Source organism: Homo sapiens, chromosome 7, assembly GCF_000001405.40.
Source record: "Homo sapiens chromosome 7, GRCh38.p14 Primary Assembly".
NCBI lineage: Eukaryota > Metazoa > Chordata > Mammalia > Primates > Hominidae > Homo > Homo sapiens.
The window spans coordinates 88,118,917-88,138,740 of record NC_000007.14 but is presented as its reverse complement, the minus strand read 5'-3'; the positions used below and the strand labels follow the sequence as shown (position 1 = coordinate 88,138,740).

The 19,824-nt window shown below is 34.5% G+C and overlaps 1 protein-coding gene across 32 annotated transcripts in view; it reads right to left on the bottom strand.

Moving 5' to 3' along the window:
- The window catches only part of ADAM22 (ADAM metallopeptidase domain 22), a 268,639-nt gene that overhangs the window by 64,149 nt on the left and 184,666 nt on the right, over positions 1 to 19,824 (bottom strand). For 31 of the 32 annotated variants that reach the window (XM_017012330.3, NM_001391975.1, XM_017012335.3 and 28 more), the window contains 7 exons: positions 13,082 to 13,152; positions 10,065 to 10,139; positions 8,282 to 8,353; positions 7,306 to 7,472; positions 5,790 to 5,874; positions 4,322 to 4,412; positions 2,710 to 2,761 (listed from right to left, as the gene is read on the bottom strand). In XM_017012330.3, coding sequence (XP_016867819.1) covers positions 2,710 to 2,761; positions 4,322 to 4,412; positions 5,790 to 5,874; positions 7,306 to 7,472; positions 8,282 to 8,353; positions 10,065 to 10,139; positions 13,082 to 13,152 — 613 coding nt within the window. The remainder of the gene's footprint in view (positions 1 to 2,709; positions 2,762 to 4,321; positions 4,413 to 5,789; positions 5,875 to 7,305; positions 7,473 to 8,281; positions 8,354 to 10,064; positions 10,140 to 13,081; positions 13,153 to 19,824) is intronic. The other variant, NM_001391982.1, reaches the window with a different exon arrangement.

Below are 19,824 nucleotides of genomic sequence, written 5' to 3'. Positions count from 1 at the left end.
CTGAAGGCAGATATCATGTCTCTCTCCTGCCTCTGTCCCCACAACTTCTGTTTCACAGAATAATATAGCTATTGTATTCAGTGCATTCTTCAAATTTTAATTTTCATACCTTTAAATAGGACTGAAGGTATTCATTTCAACCCTGCTTTCTAATATTTAGCTGTACAGAACTTCAGAAAGTAGAAATGGTAGGGAACGTACCCATGGGAACAAATGTCCATAATTACTGCTGTTTGGTGATATTTGGTGCAATCAAATTATAGCGTCATATCCCATAGTTTTATACAAACGGCTTTTCTCTTGCTTGCATCTCTTTAAGAAGAATTCCAATGTACACAGCTGTACGTATCTGAAGGTAGCCATTTGACTTCACTGTATATTATGCTTAGTGCTATGCAGATTATCTATTAAACATTTTAATAATCAGGATAATCAAATATACTATGTAGGATTTAAAAGACAAGAATCTCTAGTATGAAATTTCGTAATTGTTGAAACTGCAACTATAGAACTTTTATCATTTCCTGTCATTACTAAACAAAAAGTCCAAAGATTTTTGGAGAAATATTTTACTTTATTATTATTTGAGACAGGATCTCACTCTGTCACTCATGCTGGCATTCAGTGGCACAATCATGGCTCACCGCAGCCTCAACCTCCCTGGAATCAGGCGATCCTCCCACCTCAGCCTCCCAAGTAGCTGGGACTACAGGTGTGTGCCACCACGACTGGTTAATTTTTGTATTTTTTGTAGAGATGTAGTTTCACCATGTTGCTCAGGTTGGTCTCAAACTCTTGGGCTCAAGTGATCTGCCTGCCTCAGCCTCTCAAAGTGATGGGATTACAGCCATGAGCCACCATGCCTGGCTGGAAAAATATTTTAAACAGATGTTTGCATATATATTTCCTCTATCATTTATTTTCCTCGTTATACATATCCTGCGAGTTCAAAATTCAAACACAATCAAGAAATATTTGTTGAAAATCAAGTTTGTACAAAGGATTATGATGTGAGGTCTGAAATATGTGTTAGTATAATAAGTAATCCCTCAAAAATTTATAACTAATTTGTGAAAGGAAGCATAAGTACACATGATTAAATTCTAATGCAGGGGTTAAAATTACAACAAATCTCAGATGGTTAGAAATCTGGTTAGATAGAGAAAAAAGGGAAAGGCATTCCAGATAAATAGAATATATTGAGGAAATCAAATGAAGTTGGTAATTAATGTACAATTATGGTGAGCAAGTATTTAAGAAGCTGAAAATCTATGTAGTATTATGGTTAGCAAATTGAAAAAACTAGAAACTCCTGTACTATTATGGTAAGCAAACCAATCATGAATAGTAGGGGAAAAGGAGATTGCAAATGAAAATGAAGAAAGATTATGGGCATCTAAATAATGAAGTTAAGATTATGAACCACATTCTTTAGACATCAGAGACTCACACAATTTCTCAGCAGGAGAATGGCATTTAATGAACAAGAATTGTATATTAACAGGATGGATAAATCTCACAAACATATTGATAAAAAACAGCAAGTCACAGAAGAATACATACAGCATGATGTATTTCACATAAACTGAAAACATGCAAACCAAATGCTATGTTTTACTCCAACACACATACATACTATACAGTAAAAGTATAAAGAATGACTTGAGAATGATAGGAACCAAACTTAGATGGTGGTTACCTTGGCTGGGGCTGGGAATTAATAATGGAGGACAGAAGGGAGATTTAACCACAAATGCAGTATTTTACTTTTTAAAAGCTGGATAATGGGTGTATAAGTATCCACTGTTTTATTCTTCATACATTTTTAATGATGATGATTCCAAGCTTATCATTATTGTCCTAGTTTAAACTTTTACCATCTTTTGCTGTTATTATTTTAATAACATTCCAAATTTTTTTATTTCCAAAGATTTTGGGGGAACAGGTGGTATTTGGTTACAAGAGTAAGTTCTTTAGTGGCGTTTTGTGAGATTTTGGTGCGCCCATCACCCAAACACTGAACCGAATTTATACTCAGTATTTGAAATGTTATTAAAATAATAACAGCAAAAGATGGTCAAAGTTTAAACTAGGGCAGTAATGATAAGCTTGGAATAAAAGGAATAACTGTAAAATTTATTTACAAGAATAAAAGACAAGCATTGATGACTGAGCGTGTGAAAGGGAGGACAGTATAAAAATGAAAACCTTTCTCGGGAGAGCAGATTGTACATTTCTCTTCCCAACTCCCTTTTCAGTAATACCACATTATGAAGCCATCAGTAATGGCTTGAAGTCAGCCATTGTGGGACTATTTACACCTCAGAAATGTGAGAAAGCTACAAATCCAGGCTGTTTTCTAATTTTTGTTTTCAAGAGTTAACTTACCAGCACACTACTGTTTATAAACCATTTAATTAGAATTGAAGGAAATAAAAGGAAAGGGAATTAGCAGGTAAGCCACCAAAAACAAAGTTGTCCCTCATTTCTTACGTTTATAGCCTAGATGTAAGGCTAAAGAAAAAAAAATCTTTGAGGTCTACCAACTTAATTGACATCAATTGTTTTTATAAATAAGAGGTTATTTTGCAAAAATATTTTATAAGTGCTAGATTCCATGCACTAAGTTATTGAGTGTCATATTCCTAAGAAGACAACAGCACAGCAGGGAATGTAAGACTGAGTTATTTTCAAATACAAGTGGCTCACCCAGTGTCTCCCATTATGCACCCGGACCACGTGTCCTCGCATTTACATTCACCTAAGAGAAAATTAATACACATGCCTTGTTATAAAGTGAACACAGTTGCATTAAAGTAGTTTCTGTTTTAAAATAATTATCTCCACTTTATTCCTTAAAATGCCTTTTAAAAAGTAGTAACTTCTTTCTAATTCATCTTACAATAGTTTTTTTATGTAATATGCAACAAAAATATACTTTGACCCTATCAAGATTATATAATTTTTGCCCCAAAAAAACCCTTGTATTTTAACAAATGGCCATATTTAAACCATTTATTTAAAATGGCTTAAATGAAAGACAATCAAATACCAATGGAAGAATGAAGAACTTTATGGCACTATTACAGGATCTCAGTTTCACAGGCCTTTATGAGAACTATTATAATTTCTTGACCATTTTTGAAAGTCTCTGCACACACCAAGGTTTCTGGTAGAAGGCAGTGTAATATATTATTGGTTAGGCAGAAGGGTTTCAGAATCAGAAATACTAGGGTTCAAAACCTGAGTTTGCCATTTGATATATGTGTAATCTTAGAGACATTATACTTGTAAGAGCTAGTCACTTCATCTGTAAAATGGGGCTAAAAATGGGTGTCCTGTAGAATTACCTGGAGAATTAAATGAGTATCTAAATGGAAGTAATACTGGCACTCAATCATCTGGCATATAATAGGTACTCTATACATGGTAATAGCTTTTTTTTTTTTTTTTTTTTTTTTTTGAGATGGAGTCTCGCTCTGTGGCCCAGGCTGAAGTGCAATGGTGTGATCTTGGCTCACCGCAACCTCCGCCTCCTGGGTTCAAGTGATTCTCCTGCCTCAGCCTCCCGAGTAGCTGGTACTATAAGAGCCTGCCACCACACCCGGCTAATTTTTCTATTTCTAGTATAGACAGGGTTTCACCATGTTGGCAAAGCTGGTCTCGAACACCTGACCTCAGGTGATCCACCCGCCTGCCTCAGCCTCCCAAAGTGCTGGGATTCCAGATTATAAAAATAATATTTATGATGTTTGTTACTGAAATAAAAATGGAAATAATCAAATTTTTAAGGTAAATACATAGTATTTGACCATTCAGGGTAAAGTGACTTTACCTACTTGAGAAAAGACATTCTTCATAGATACCAAACCTAGCATATTTTACTAGGTCCATATATTAACTAAGCTTTTTATCAGGTCTGATCCTGACAGGGAAACTCTACCTCTGTGGCCATGTTCAGAGATGTTTTAAATAAAACATAAAAAAACCAGTACGTCTGAAACCTATATGCCTAGAATTCTCTACTAAACCATTAATGATGAACAAACTGGGCTAATTTTGTCCCTTATAAGGTTAAATTCAGCTTGAATTTATTATCACACGGCTTTAAAGTTTATTATAGTCATAGAAATTTCCACCTATAATGTAAATATTTCTTTGTATTACTTTGGAAAACAACAGTTTGTGCGCTGGATGTTTATCTTTTACTATCGTTCAAATTCCTTTCATCAAGCAACTAAATCAAAAAATTTTACTCTCCAAAATATTTCACAAATAGTCTATTTTAAATACAACTAACCACACATGTACTAAAACTTACCACTTGCTAACTTTCTTTTGTCTGAGATAATACCAATATTATGGGCTAATGACTGGGCAAGTGTAACAGCCATTAAATCAGTTTTCCCAAACTGAAAAACAAAAACAAAAATAAAATATATGTAAATCCAAATTGTCACTGACAAAGAACCAGAGAAAAATGTCACAATATCGCTGAAAATAAGTAATTTCTAAGCAATTTCTTTAGAAGAGGCTGAACACACTGTAGCCAGCACTGAATATGCATTTGGGAAAAAGTAGTAAGAAACAAAAATCCATGTTTGATTAGGTCTTACAGGGAATACTAGAAGTCAGGAAATAATCACAGCTTTTGGGTTTTGGAAATGTATATCTGAGTCCAAATTTCACCAGTGACATTCTTGAAAAATTCAATATTGGTATATAATTAAATCCGTCTTTTGGATAATACAAAATAAAATTAAATCTGTAAATTTTTTTAGAACTTGTTCATCTTTGTATCCAGTTGTAATCCTGAAATTCCCCTCAAGTGGAATAGAATGTAGCTTCAGAAAACAAATGAAATGAGTAACAGGAGGTAGTGATGATCTTCGGCCAATAGAAACTTAAGAAGAACTGAGGATATCTTTTTCAATTTGCAGCCTCTTAAAAATGCAAGTATTTTCTTTTTGATCATCTCTAGTAGGTTTAGTGCCTTAGGAGTAAAAGAAACCCTTTGGAAAACCTACTCTATTTTTCTTATCCCCAAATCTGTTAAATACTAAGGAAAAAATATCCAGTTGGGTTGTTAGGTGACAACCTGATGCTTCAGGGAATTATTCAATTCCCTGGAAAATCATTCAAAGTGATAAATAGGGCCTTATTTTCAATGAAGGTAAAGGTAAAGATTCTCTCAATTTAATCTGTAAGTAGCTTAATCTGGAAATTATTCCAAGCATAACATGAATATATAATAATTATCCCATATTATCTGCCATTATTTCCCCAGTCTGTCCTCTGGTCACTTACAGTAACCATATTAGTTTTTTATATTTTTAATTTTATTTATTTATTTATTTATTTATTTATTTATTTATTTAGAGACAGGGTCTCACTCTGTTGCCCAGGCTGGAGTGCAGTGGCGCAATCTGGGCCCAATACAACCTCTGCCTCCCAGGCTTAAGCCATCCTCCCACTTCAGCCTCCCCAGTAGCTGGGGCTACAGGCACACGCTACCACACCCAACCTATTTTTGTATTTTTGATAAAGACAGGATTTTGCCATGTTACCCAGGCTTGTCTCAAACTCCTCATCTCAAGCAATTTGTCCACCTCAGCCTCCCAAAGTGCTGGAATTACAGAAATAAGCCATTGTGCCAGGCCACCATACTGATTTGTAATATAGCAATCTAACATCTGGAGTATGTGAATACTGAGAAATTATCTCTTAAGTATGAGGAAAACATTTTCAGCCATCATACCACTTTGTATTGTACAGATGTTCACACCTACTTCATTCACGCCTCCTCCTTTCAGCAACGAGCAAATCCCACCAATATAAGCTGCCCCGCTCCGGCTACTCTCAAATTGACTTCCCCTTTTAGAAAAGGAAATGAAAAATGCTTACTGTTCACAGTTCAAACATCATAGCACCCCTCATTATTAGTTTACTACATTTATTTTCTCTATACATAAGATTTCTATACAATATATTCACATTGCAAGGGAAGAATGTGAAAATTGTTTATACATGTAACCAAAGAAAAAGGTTTATGAGGGATGTTTTCTTGCAAGATTAATAAATATCTTAAATTGAAGTATATCTATTAAAAAATAATTGGTTGATATGATGTACTCTGAGACAGACACAAAATCACTTCTCTGGTATTTCTGCCAAAAATACATATCTTAACATCAGGCATTCCCATAATGAGGAACAGTCAATAAAATAATTGGCCTATACTCTTCAAAAGTATTAAACTCAAAATAGACAAAGGAAAGCTGAGGAAATCTTTCAGATTAAAGGAGACTAAAGAGACATGATGATTAAATGCAATGTGTGATCCTGGATTGGATTTGGATGGGGAAAATTAGCTTTAAAAGACATTATTGAGGTAATTGGTGAAATTTGAATATAGACCATGGGTTACATAAAAGTATTATGTTTGTGTTAAATTTTCTGGTTTTAATAATTTACTGTGGTTATATAAGAGAATGTCTTTTTACTCTTAGAGAATATATACTATTTAATAATAAATCCCCAGTAAGTGTCTTCAACTTACTTTCAAGAGGTTCAGGAAAAAAAACAAAAAAAAACAAAAAAAAAACTGAAGGATGGATGAATGGAAGGAAGGGAGGGAGAATGGAAGAAAATTATGAAACAAATGGGGAAAATGTGAATAATTGATGAATCTGAATAGAGGGCATATGCAATTTCCTTGTAGTATTCTTGCAACTTTTCTCTAAATTTGGAATTATATATAAAGTTACCCCAAAATACATCTTTTCTTCCTTTTATAACTTTCTTCAACAGCTCTGACTTTAGATGATAGATTTTTAAAATTCTACTATATATAATTTGCTATTACGTCAAATATGCATGCTATCAAAAAAAGAACATAAGAGTGAGAAAAAATTAAAAATAAATTCCAGAAATACTAAGCTCTCATCTTAGAACCAAAAACAGAGAAAACATTAACATTTAAAAGACAGTAACTTTAAAGAATATAATTTATCTGTAGTTAAGAATACTATATATGAGTATTAGCAGTATTTTTACTCAGTAAATGCTCTATTTAAATATCTTGAAAAATTAAACATTAAATAATAAAATAACTCAAAATTAAAACTTTTACATTTTCATGGCAATTTTAAGCAATCTATACTTGAAAACTTTTTCCAAATCTATCTGCCATCTGCCATGTCAAATCCTAATTGTGTTATGTAGCAGAAAGGATACATTTCAGTCACAATAAAGCATTTAACATGGAATCAAAAAAAGTAATACATCATTACAGAAGTTACGTACGAAAAAAGGTGAACTGCATCACTTTTCTCTTTGATAAAATCCCTCCTGTATTTCATAAACTCACGTAGGGTGATCAATGGATTTTCAGATATGGCAAACTTGTTGTCAGTCGCCCAGGTTTCCATAGCAACCAATACTATCCTGGTCTTAAGTTGGTCTTTATATATCTAGTATATTAATAAAATGAACACATCAGCTGTACATGTGGTAAAATCAAATAGTTTATGAACAGGACTACAAAACTCCTTTCATGGAAACTTCTTTGAGTTTTAGTTAAAGGGAGATAACTTTCTAATTTACATGCATTTCCCTTGAGTAACAGAGAATGAAATTGTTGACCAATACCCAAAGAACAGAGCACTTTTTGGAAACAAAAGATCCCTTTTTGACAAATACCTGCACCCTATTCAAGGTTCCACCTGAATCTGTTTTCTGGTATCCTGGAAAAAGAATTCATGCATGCTTGAGTTCCCCTAGCCAAAAATGGAGCAATGAAGACTCTCCAAAGAAATAATTTCTATACAAGCTGACTGGCTCTGATTAGACTTGTGAAGAAGGTACTAGCGCAGCCTCATCAAGGGAAGATTTGGGAAGTATGGAGGTATAGTGGAATTATTTAGTTCCATCACTGCCACAGCACCAGGCACTCTTAAAGGCACAACTATTGTACTGTTTCTCCATCGTTATAAGTCACTGTGAATACCTTTGTTAGGGGTATGACACAACCTTTGTTTTTACAGTGTGAAAAACATAGGATGGAATTTCAAGCATATCTATGGATAACTTCGACCAGTTCCTCTTCCCAGCCAGACATCAAAGTCAATAAAGTCTATTGCAAGGTCACCCGGAACTTACTAGACACCTTGGCTGAAGTGCAACATAGAGCAGTAAAACTATAAGAATCATATTATCCATTCTATTAGCAATTAGGAAATAAGAATCTTCTAGGGCAATAATGAACGGGGTTGATACTTACTAAATCTGCCATGTTCACCACAGATTTCGCATAGGTATTGGTATGTACAACGGAAAGCCGATGTTTTTTAAACTGAAAGCAAAAGAAAACAAGTGAAGGTCTTGCAAAGTGATCAGAAAACAATCATCTCATCAGAGAAAACATGGTGCAATTGAAAGATCCCTAAAAATGTAAAAAAAAAAAAAATCTTTTCTGTAAAAATGTGTTGTCTGTAAAACAATGTCAGAGTCAGAGCTGAGATCAAGTTCTTTATCTGCTGTGTTGCCTGAGACAAGTCTCTTAAAGGATTGAAGCCTCAATTTATTCATCTGGGAGATGAAGTAAAAAATACCCAATCCATCCATTTCATAAGTTTATTTTTATTGGGATTGTTATTCAAAATGATAAAACATATGAAAGTTGTCTATGAATTGCAAGACATACAAATCTAAGTAGGGGTATAGACAGTAAAGTGGATGTGAACACTGCTAAAAGCAAACAAATTTAAAAGTTCTGCAAGACTTATTCAGCAAGAAGAAACCTCTAAGATAAAGGTCACAACGAGGTGGCATACAGGGCAGATGTGGATCACATATATCTTTGGTTGGTCTCAATCGTGTTTTAAAAATCAGGAAATATCATGTAAAATCCAATTTCTGGCTTCAGTTAAAATTAGCATTCTCACCTGGTAATAACTGGCAAACAATGAGAGGCAGTTGCTCCCCTTAGACAGGCCATGCACCATTCATTTCACCACAGGCCTTACCCACCTAATACTGTCTTATATCTGGTTAATTTCACTTACGTTATATGTCTACTGATGTCTATGGATATCTGAATTTGTGACGATCTAAAATGTTCAAAATATATGTTGTTATAACTTATTTTATAAAAATCCTAGGGAACAGAAACATTCACTGGATTCAAATAGGTGGAAAGATAAAACTTAGACCTAGCTTGAACAAGGAAGCAGCACTCAATCCTGATTGTGTTGTTATTATTATTATTAGCAACTGTAATAATTAAGATCTAAATTATGTATTTAATCATACATAAATAAATGATCATTTTTTCCTCAAATAAGTAGTTCAAAGTAAATTAAAATGCACTTGTACCTGAACTTAAGTAAAATTCAGCAATATGCATCATTAAACATTTTTAGTTTAAAACTTTGGTTACATAGAACAATTAGCATTATAACTCATTGCTGTGCTATGAATGTAGTCATACTGCCTGCAATATGCCCATTAACTGAATATAAACACTATGGGTCAAAATAATTTGATTCAACAACATGAAAGTTTTGTCAAGTTCTTATCCTAAGAAACTTCATCCTAAGCTAAATGGTTAGCTATGTAAGCATTTCCATATGATTTCTGCACAGTAAGACCAAAATAGAAAAGCTGCTTTTCTTTTATTAAGATAAAGGTGTACCCCGCGAACTAAAATGTCTCATAATTGGTGCCTCACTTTTTCAATATATAATGGAATTTCCATTTTTTTAAACCTTGTCATTTTATTAAGTGGAGATTCAAATATTAGTACCTCTACTAATCAAGCAAACTCAAAAGTTGATACTATGAGTCACAAAGTATTTTTGAAAACTCAAAAGTTACTGCTAGTTATTTCCACCTATGAATATTTCCTAATTGCAGGTTGTTGCTAGTTAACAAATATATTTGATTATACAAATACCTTCTCCAGGTTACAACTTGATGGGCTTCTTGTTTTTTCTAAACATATTTTTGCACTCACCAGTTTTACCCTAGGCACAAACAGGCTTAAAAACAACAGCAAATCCTACCATAAGGTGATCATTCACAATCATCAGTTCAATGTATTTGGTTTCTTCTTCTACATTACGAGGATATCGACGAAGCTGTAACACAGGAAAGGAAACAGCACCTAATTCAGCCCTCTAAACTTGGCTGCGAAAAGCTAAAAAATATGGAAGAAACTGACAAAACAAAATTTTCCCTTTTTATTCCTTCAGCATTTAAAAAATTTTTCATCAATTTGCTTAGTTTCTGAGTTGGTAATAAATTTACATGACTCAGAAAATTTAAAAAGTATAAAAGGGCAGAAGATGAATGTCTTCCTCTCACCTCTATTCTCCACCTACTCAGTTCCTAGTCCTTCCCCCACAATGGATATAGCAAGTTACTGGTTCCTTCCAAAAATACTTCTGCACATAAAACTAAATGTGAATATGTCCTTTATTTTGTACTTCCGTTTATTTCACTCCTTTCTGCCTCCAGCGATTTTCATTTAACAGTCTATCTTGAAAATAGTAACATATGAAGAGCATTCTTTTGGGTTTAATTTCAGGTCCTCTGAGGATCTCCGAGAGGGTACAGGGACTGGAGTGATTGGCACTTTTATTATTTAATCTCCAAACTGGGAGTGAGTCATGTGCCTTCATCTAGGACGTTTCAGGGGATCCCCAAATGACATGGGGTCTTTGTTAGAATAGCTTTGAGAACTCCCAGGCAGTCTTGAGTTATCTATTACAGCTAGCTTTCTCTGCTCACCAACAAGTTTTCTTCTCTTTCGAAATAATGACCAATGAAAGTTACAGGGAAAAGCCACTAAGGAAAAGCCACTAAGGCAGCTATTCTCTTTGTTCTCTACAGTTAGCCTATAATATAATCATTAACAAGGTTTGTAAAGCTAGCTTTTTCCTTTATGCCATAGTTCAATATAAACTTTTCCAGAAAACGTTTTGCTCACTTGCCCAAGGTCCATTTTTGCGATAAGGGTATACAATCAAACTTAAATCAATACATATATGTTTGTTTTGAGTGTTGCAGTTAAAACCAACTTTAAAAATGCTCCCACATGGATTTTGTCATTGCTAACTGCAATCCTAAACTTAAAAACTTAAAAAAAAAAAACTATTATAACACCAAGGTGATAGGGAATAATAGATACAATTCTGAGGTTGGAAACCAAAGAATAACACTAAAGTGCATCCAATGATGAGAGTCTTCTTTTCTTTTTTAAGGGAGGGGGGTGTTTTTAGGGCAACAGGAGCTGCTTTGCTACTTGTGAGAGACTAGTTAATACAGCAAATTTTTCAACAAATCCCAACATTTTGTTAATGTCAAAGAGTTGCCATATTAGCCACACAGTTTTATAGTACTTCACCTCTATGGGTCCATGGCTTTCTCAGAAAGAGAAATCAAGGTTTTGTCTACTTAGCAAATGATTAGATGCTGAGATGTTTATGAGGAACTTCAGGGTACATGTCAAAAGAATATTGTCCTATTCTTTCAGTCCATAATTCAAAAAAATACTGTTTCACATTAAATCCTGATGGTAATTATTTTATCTAACTGGGCCTCAAGATACGTATGTCTTTACCTATTCATATATATATATATACACACACATATGTTTATATATGAGTATATATATATAAACATTCACAACACTTATAAAGGTCACAGTAGTAATTCATGGAACACATGGGTCTGAGAGGCAATATATGGCGTATATGCGGTTATAAGCACCTCTCTGAGACCAGGCTTCCTAGGTCAGAATCCCAGCTCTACCACAGAGTCACCCTATGTGGCTTTGGGAAAGTTTCTTGATCCTCTTATGCTCAATGTCCTTATCAGTAAAATGAGGATATTATAGGTTAAGTATCTCTCATCTGAAAATCCAAAATCCCAAATGCTCCAGAATGAAAAACTTTTTGAGCACCAATAGGACACTCAAAAGAAATGCTCACTGGAGCATTTCAGATTTCTAATTTTTGAATTAGGGATGCTAAAACACTAAGTATAATGTAAATATTCTGAAATCCTCCCCCTGCCAAAAAATAAATCAAAATGTGCAAAACTTCCGGTCCCAAGCATTTTGGAAAAGGGATACTTAACCTGTGATAATACCTTCCTCTTAAGGTTTTTGAGGGTTAAATGTGTTAATATAGTTAAAATTCTTATAATAGGGCCAGGTACAAGGTAAGTATTCAATAAAATTTAGCAATAATTATTCACAATAAAAATCTGTCTGTAAACATATATTTTATTTCAAGGTAATAAAAAGAAGATACCTGGTTCCTTCAACTTCTTGATCTTACTAGAGATCTATTCCCTTCATCTTGTGTTTTTAATAACCATCTCTCCTGCCCACACCACCACAGTGGTGATATCTTGATTCTGATGGCCACAACTCTTAATTTTGTCTAAACTGTTTACCAGCTCTATGATTCGAGTAAGTCATTTTCACATGTCACAGAGTCATCATTTTTCTTTCAGTGAAAGGGGAATAATAGTACCGACTTCATTTGGTTTAAAGCGTCATATCAACAGTTATTATTACCTAGTCCAAGATCCAGTCGAACAATCATAAAGTCCATGACCTAATTTTATATCCTGGACTCCAAAGTTTTGCCCAAGTGAGACAAAAGCATTCTGTGGCTTCACAACCTGATTGATTCATTCCTAAGGGGTTATCTTCCAGGGAATAAATACAAGGATATAAACCATACAAGTGGATTCCACGATGTGGTACATATCTGGGCAAGGAAAGAAGCCTATGGTAGAAAGAACCCAAGGTGCCACAAGCAGGAGCCTCATAACCCATAATATGATGAAGAAACATATTATCACCACTATCTTGAATCCTTTTTGCATCTGTGAAACAACATGGCCCCCTTTCTACTGCTTCTTCAGATCCATCACCCTTACGGTTTATCACACCCTGACAAATTCCCAAACTAATACTCACCCTCTCACACAGACTTACTGTAGATTCAAATGACTGGCAGTTGACAATTGTTTTAAAATAACACGACACACCACTGTGAATACATACCTGCCGTTTACTCCTTTTTGGTCTTGGCTTCAAAATAAATTTTGATGGAGTAATGTTTACTTGCTGAAATTCTAAAAGGAAATTAAATTTAATTTAACTTAGTGCATTTGTCAGATTTCTTCAATACAGGGCAAAGTTTTACCTGCCCTTCCTTCTTATGAATTTTATAATACATAATGTTGCACTTAACGATCACACAAACCATTAAGTAACTGTAGTATATTAATACTAAATAAACATATAAAGGATGAATATAATTTGCAAAATCTAGAACATTATTTCTGTTCTAATTTATCTGGAAAATTTTTCATATTTCTCTTATAAATATCATTACTTTATTTACTGGAAATCTTCCAAAAAGCCAACTTGACTTTCACCTCCATTACTAACCTTCTAGAGGCAGCAAAATAAAGAAGAGGAGCAATGAGAAGTAGAATAAATAATCACACATTCCCAAGTTCATAATTTATTAAGAAATTGTTATAGGACACCAAAGTTTTGAGCTAATTTTTTCCAATTAATTTATATTCTTCTTTGCCCATAACCAAATTGATCTCAGGATTTATCTGCTCTTGGTAGCAGATGTGAAAATTATACATCAACTGTTTATGCGTATAGATTCATCTCCAAATATAAGATTAGGTTATTTATAAGGGAGGATTTTTCTACAAAGTGAAAGGAAAGCTGCAATCTTTCCACAGGGTACAGATTTCCTAAGACTTTGATGGTTGAGCAACCTGAAGGGGCTTATTATACAAATAATACTATAAAACACTCAAGGTGAACCATTACCATTATTTTTGGATACTGTTCATAAAGGAGAAATAAGCATGGTCAGAGAAATTTGTGACCAAGAAGCTGAATAATAAAATCGGGTAAGGAAATTAGTGTTCTCTCTTTATTTCATGTTCAAATATTCTCCCATCATGTCATTTTTCAGAATGCTATGGCCTGGGCATACAAGGGATTTGTTGAGAAAGGGAATAAGTTCTCCTTTATAATTAACTAATAGGACAAACAGAAAAACAAGATTACAAAAGTAACCCATCTCATATCAATAATTACATTAAATGCAAATAGACTAAATGTTGTGCCTAAAAGGCAAAGATTGCCAGACTGGATTTTTTTTTTTTAATGCAAGACTTAACTGCATGCTGTTTAGAAGAGGGGCACTTTAAATTTAAAGTATGGAAGAAGATACACCTTACAAACATTAATCACAAGAGAACTGTGAAGGAAATATTAATATCAGACAATGTAACTTCAGGACAATAAGTATCTGAGAGAAAGGAAACTATTTCCTAATTATAAATGGGATGATTCATCAAAAAGACACAATGCTCCTAAATGTTTATTCACCTAATAACAGAGTTTTAAAATACATGAAGTAAAAAGTGACAGACCTGAAAGGAGAAATAGACAAATTCAAAGTTATAGTTAAGGATTTCAACAATCCTCCCTCAGTAATTGAAAGAAAAAAAAAGTAAACAGAATCATATGGATATAGAAGACTTAACACTATCAACCAATTTAACTAAGTTGGCATTTTTAACACTTTACCCAATAATTGAAGAATACATATCCTTTTCAAGAATACATGAAACATTCACCAAGACAGACATTATGATAGATCATAAAACAAGTCCCAATAAATTTTATTTAAAGAAAATGAAATGACACAGAGTATTTTCTCTTATTGCAATTCTATTAAATTAAAAAATCTATAATAAAAAGGTGCTTGGAAAAAAATAACCAAGTATTTCGATACTGAGCTCTACATTTCTAAATAATCCATGGGACAAAGAAGAAATCACATGGTAATTTAGAAAATGTTTTGACCTAAAGTAAATAAAAATATGACAAGGCAAAATACAAGGGATGCAGGTAAGGCATTTAGTGCTTGAAGGGAAATGCATAGCTTTAAGTGGTTATGTTAGAAAAGAAAAAAAAAAGTTTAAATTATGATCTAATCTTCCACCTTAAGAGCCCAGAAAAATAAGAGCAAACTAAACACAAATCAAATAGAAAAAAGTGAGACTCAAAACTTAAACACAAAAATCAATAAAATTGATCAGCAGGGCTTGACCAATAAAGAAAGCAAATCACTACAGATTCTATAGATACTAAAAAGATAATACGAGGATATTATGAAGAGCTTTATGCCAATAAATTTGTTAATTTAGATGAAATTCCTTGAACGTGTGTATATATAGAAAATCTGAATAATCCTGTATCTATTAAATAACTTTAATTCTTAATTAAACTTTCCAAGAAAACCACAAGGCCAGATGGCTTCACTGATGAATTCTACCAAAGATTTAAGGAAGAAATAATACCACTTTTACACCAACTTAGAAAAAAAAAAGAGTTTGGAAACTTTTCCTAACACATCTTATAAGACCAGTAAAACCCTGGTACTAAAACCAGAAAAGAAAACTACAGTCCAATATGCTTTCTGAACCTATATTTTACAAATGCTTAACAAAACATAGGCAAATCAAACCCAGTAATACACACAAATATAATCTACCATAACCAATTGGGGCCCATTTAAGAATGCAAATTAGTTTCATATTCAAAACATCAATTTATACAATTCATCACATTAACAGATTAAAGGAGAAAATTATATGATCCCGTAATAGACATAGAAAAGCATTTGACAAAATTCAACACCTATTCTTGATAAAAACTCTTAGCAAACTAGAATAGCAGACTGATAAAACTACTCAGATGCAAATATGTGCTACCTTTCATGGAAAAGGAAGGATGAGCAGAATTAAGAGTTGAGAACACAGAGCCAAGAGTCATGGAGAATTATTTCTAGGCCTTGAAACCCAGTCAAGAAAGGGTCAACATTTGCCCAGCAGAATTTCAGAACTGCAATGTCAGTGTCTTTCTTGTTTCTCGAATTTTCCCTCTTTTGTAAGGGAATGTCTATAGCTGGCCCATTACTGGATCCTGGGACTACATAGGGCAGATAACTTGTCTCTTTAGTTTTACACACAGAAGGACTAAGAGAAATTACACCCAAAAACCCTCATCCACACCTGGATCTGATTTAGATAATGAGATTCCAGACTTTGAGCAGATGCTATAACGGGATGAAATGCTTAGAGACCTAGGGAGGAAGAGAATGTATTTTGCAGGTAAAAGGGACAGGAATTACTGGGGGCCAAAGAGAAGAATTTGACAGACTTTAAGATGACCTCTAATAGTCTCCACCTCCTGGTACTCACGCCCTTTTGTAATGCCCTCTCTCTGAGTGTGAGTAAAACCTGTAACTTGCTTCCAACCAATGGAATACAGCAAAGGTGATGAACTGTCATTTCTCAAGATAACATCATACAAGATTGTAACTCATCTTGCTAGAGACTCTCTTCCTTACTGGCTTTCATTACATGAGCACTAGTGTTGTGAGCTTCCCTATGGAGAGGCCTATGTGAGAAAGAGAGCAACCATCAGCCAAAAGCCAGCAAGAAACCAAGGCCCTTGGTCTAAGAGGCTAAGAAGAACTGAATTCTGCCAACGACAACTGCATATCCTTCCACAGTTGAGCCTTGAGATGAGATGCAGTCCTAGAAAACACCTTGACTGCAGCCTGTAAGGGACTCTGAAACAGAGAACCCATCTAAGCCATCCTTGGACTCCTGATCCACAGAAACTGTGAGATAATAAGTGTGTATTGTCTTAAGAGGTGCATTTTGTGGTAATTTATTACTCAGCTACTTTCTAATTTTTCTGTACATAATAAAAATGAATTCCTCAGCAATAGATAACTAATACAATGACACTGTATAATCTCATTCCCTTGAGAGAAGGCTGGACTCTGTGACTCATTTCTAATAAATACTATACAGCAAAAGTGATCAGATGTTACTTTTGAGATCAGGTTAACAAAAAGACTGTGGCTTCCGTCTTAGGCATACTGTCTCATTCTCTCTTCTCTTGGTCTCTCACTATCTCCTGGAACAAGTTAGCTACCAGGTTGGTGGGGGGCAGCCCTGTGGAGAGGCCCATGTGGTGAGGTACTGAGGCCTGACAACAATTATGTGAGTGAGCTCAGAAGCTAATCCTTCCCAGTTGAGCCTTCAAATGAAACTGTAGTCCCAGCTGACAGTTACGCTACAAACTCATGACACCGTGGGCCACAGGCACCCAGCTAAACCACACCCAGGTTCCTGATTCTCAGAAATTATGAGGTAATAAATATTTGTTTATTAAAGCCACTAAGTTTTAGAGTAATTTCTTATACAGCAATAGATAATACAATATCTACACTAAAAATGACCAAACACTGAAAGAAATTTTAGTCTCACTACTAATAATATGCTGTTTTCCCCCATTAACCCATACTTTTAATACAATTCTAATAAAAATCCCAGAATTATAGAAATTGACAAGCAGGTTCTAAAATCTGTAGGGAAATGTGAAGGGCCCAGAATAGCCAAAAATTTTTGGAAAAACCAGAATTGGAGGATTTACGTTATTTGATTTCAAAACTTATATAAAGCCACAGTAAGCAAAACAAAGTGTGATAAGGGTAGCCAAATAAAATAAGAGTCAAGAAATAGACTCATATTCATACTTTTAATACTTTTTAACAAAGACATCAAAACAATTCATTGATGAAAGGAAACTGTTTTCAACAAATGGTATTAAAATAATTGTGTATCCACATACAAAATAATAAAATAAAACTTAACCCCTACTTTTCACCATGCACAAAAAGTAATTTGAAGAGGATCCTAGATCTAAACATAAAAAATAAAACTATAGAGTTTTTAGAAGAAAACACTAGAGAATATCTTCAAAACTTGGGAGCTAGCAAAAATTACTTAGCATAGAGAAAGCAATAACGATAAAAACTAATGTTAAACTTCATGAAATTTAAAACATCTGTTCATCATAAGATGCCATTAAGTAAATGAGCAAGCCAAAGACTGGGAAAAATATATTCATAAGGCATATTTGGCAAAGGCCTTCTATCTAGAATATGTAAGTACTCCTACAACTTAACAACAAAAAAGACAGAAATTCTGATTAGTGGCGAGTAAGTATATACTACACATCATTAATCACAAGAAAAATGCAAATTTCAACCAAAGTGAGATACCACCACATACACTAGAATAGCTAAAATTAAAGAATGACAGAGCAAATGTTGGTCAAGATGTGGAACAATTAAAACTCTCATAGAGTGCTGACACAAATATAAAAGAGTGTACCCACTTTGGAAAAAGGGTTCAGCAATTTCTCATAAAACAGTGGTTCTCACTTGGACACAGGAAGGGGAACATCACACACCAGGGCCTGTTGTGGGGTGGGGGAAGGGGGGAGGGATAGCATTAGGAGATATAACTAATGTAAATGACCAGTTAATGGGTGCAGCACACCAACATGGCACATGTATACATATGTAACAAACCTGCACGTTGTACACATGTACCCTAGAACTTAAAGTATAATAAAAAATATATATATATTAAAAAAAAACAGTGGTTCTCAAAGTGTGATTCCAGCACCAGCAGCATTAGCATCACCTGGGAAGCACTGGAAATACAAATTCTCCAATCCCACCCAAGATATACTGAATTAAAACTCTCAAGATGGGGCCAGCAATCTGTGGTTACCAGTCCTCCAGATGATTCTGATGCATGCTAAGGTTTGAGGACACTGTCAACATAGTTAAACATGTACCTACCCTATGGCCCAGCAATTTTATTCCTAGGTATTTACTGGAAGAAATGAAAATATGTGCTCACAGAAAAGACTTGTACAATAACGTGCATAGTTGCTTTTCTCATAATAGTCAAAAACCGGAAACAACCTAAATGTCCATCAACTTAATAAGTTAAAAATTGTGTTATAGGCCGGGCGCAGTGGCTCATGCCAGTAATCCCAGCACTCTGGGAGGCCAAGGCGGGTGGATCACTTGAGGTCAGGAATTTGAGACCAGCCTGACCAACATGGTGAAACCCTGTCTCTACTAAAAATACAAAAATTAGCCAGGCATGATAGTGCATGCCTGTAGTCCCAGCTACTCGGGAGCCTGAGGCAGGAGAACTGCTTGAACCCAGGGGGCAGAGGCTGCAGTGAGCCGAGATCGCACTATTGCACTCCAGCCTGGGCAACACAGCAAGACCCCATCCCCCACCCCTGAAAAAAGTGGTATATTCATAGGACACAACATATTCAATAATTTAAAAGAATGAACTATTGCTACTCTTGACAACATAAACCTCACAGGCATGTGCTAAACAAAAGAAGCTGCACATAGTACATGATTCCATCTGTATAAAGTTCTACAACAGACAAAAGGAATGGCAGAGGTGGGAGGCACTGACTACAAAGAGTACAAAGGAAGTTATTGGGGTAATGGACATGCTCTATCTCTCAACAAGAGTGTAGGTATGTAAAAAGTCATTGAATGGTACACAAGACTTTTATATTTCATTGCATATTTTTTTAACTGGGTGCATAAGTGTCCACAGGAAATAAGATTTTCCCAGAATATGTTCTCAGAAACACTAGTCCTGAGACAGGTACATGCCATGTAAAGCAAATGTTCCACAGTCCAGCAAGTTTGGGGAACAGCTGATCCTATGTCTATCGCTGGGAAATATATAAAACATAACAAGATGATGATGTTGATAATCTACAACCCAGTTAAACTTTATGTAATCTATAATAATTAAACTTACTTTTGAAACTGTTTCACAGAAATTGCAGTTTTGACATTT